At 40.4% G+C, this 1,474-nt stretch overlaps 1 annotated feature.

Annotated features, from left to right (window-relative positions):
* Window positions 275–1,474: an enhancer, noted in NCBI's record as "CDK7 strongly-dependent group 2 enhancer chr15:48143210-48144409 (GRCh37/hg19 assembly coordinates)". NCBI's record gives its function as "activates an origin of replication core promoter dependent on BRD2, BRD4, P300/CBP, MED14 and CDK7 cofactors, with strong dependence on CDK7, by STARR-seq in HCT116 cells {active_cell/tissue: HCT116}" and the evidence as "EXISTENCE:reporter gene assay evidence [ECO:0000049][PMID:35650434]".

Below are 1,474 nucleotides of genomic sequence, written 5' to 3'. Positions count from 1 at the left end.
CTGCCTTTTTAATCATCAAAAACTCGACTTCCAACAGACTGGGTTTTGGGGTTGCTTCCTTATTTCCATGGATCATTCCTTGTGTCTGTAAGAAAGATACAGCAGCATAGGCATATTTTATTTCCTTGGAAGTTAGTAGACTTGTCCTCTTTTGTGGGGTTTCCTGTATATTCAACAGGGTGAGAGACTTAGGGAGAACTCTAAGTTTGCCTGGTAAGGAATTTACTCTTCTTGCCAACTAGAAAGCACAGAAGAATCCAGTTTCTATAAGCTTCCCGGGAGACACATGCTATGAGTAAGATGCTTTCTAGTACTCCCACTTTTTCCTAGTGCTTCCTCTTTACTTCAATGTTAGATTCATAATTCTTTTTTTAAATTATTATTATTATTATTATTTGAGACAGAGTCTTGCTGTGTTGTCCAGGCTGGAGTGCAGTGACACAATCCCAGTTCACTGCAACCTCTGCCTCCTGGGTTCAAGTGATTGTCGTGCCTCAGCCTCCAAGTAGTTGGGATTACAGGCATGTGCCACCATGCCTGGCTAATTTTTGTATTTTTAGTAGAGACGGGGTTTCTTCATGTGGTCCAGGCTGGTCTTGAACTCCTGGCCTCAAGTGATCTGCCTGCCTTGGCCTCCCAAAGTGCTGGGATTATAGGAGTGAGCCACTGTGCACAGCCTTAGGTTCAGGATTCTTAACCATTTTTGTAAATATTTGAGAAGAAGCTCTGAAGGCAAATACTAAGCTTGATGGATAGTTCCAGTGCCTCCAGCTTGAATCCTGTTGCATTCAGGTGAACACACATTCCCTTGGTCATGAGTTAGGCAGCCATACCCAAAAACAGTCAGGCTAATTTCACACACTCACTCCTGGTCATAATTTTAGTCATCAAAAGACTGTCCTTTATGTTTTTCAAGATTCCTTCTGAAACCTTTGACTAATCATGCCTCTTAGTTTATGTTGTTAATGTGGGATAGGTCAAAACATTTGCCCATTCTTATTTGTGAGAAAGGTCATGACTATTACTACTTCTCACCGTACCCTTGACCTCTACCCTATCTGGCTCTTTTTAATCATAGTGTTCATGACTTGCCAAGAACAGAGTTCTTGGTCTGTCTAAACTGAACTCTTGATCTTTCTTTTTGCTGTTCCTTCATCTGTCTTCTTCTGCTCGTGAAGACATCTTCATCTTTCCAAATGCTGATGCTGGGAACTTGGAGCAATCCTTGATCTCTATTTTTTCATCACTCACTCTATACAATCTCTTCCAAGTTCTATAGATTTTATTTTGAGTCCATCCACTATCTAAGTTTATATTCCCTCAAGACTAAGCCACCTACATCTCTTTCCTAAACACCAAAAATAGCCTCACTAGTTTCTTGCTTTCTTTCTTGGACCCTTGTAGTCTATTCTGCACATGATTGTTAGAGTAATCTTTTTTAGAAACAAACAAACAAAAAAACCCCCACACATTT

Source organism: Homo sapiens, chromosome 15, assembly GCF_000001405.40.
Source record: "Homo sapiens chromosome 15, GRCh38.p14 Primary Assembly".
Taxonomy (NCBI): domain Eukaryota; kingdom Metazoa; phylum Chordata; class Mammalia; order Primates; family Hominidae; genus Homo; species Homo sapiens.
This window is presented reverse-complemented; position numbering and strand designations above follow the sequence as displayed.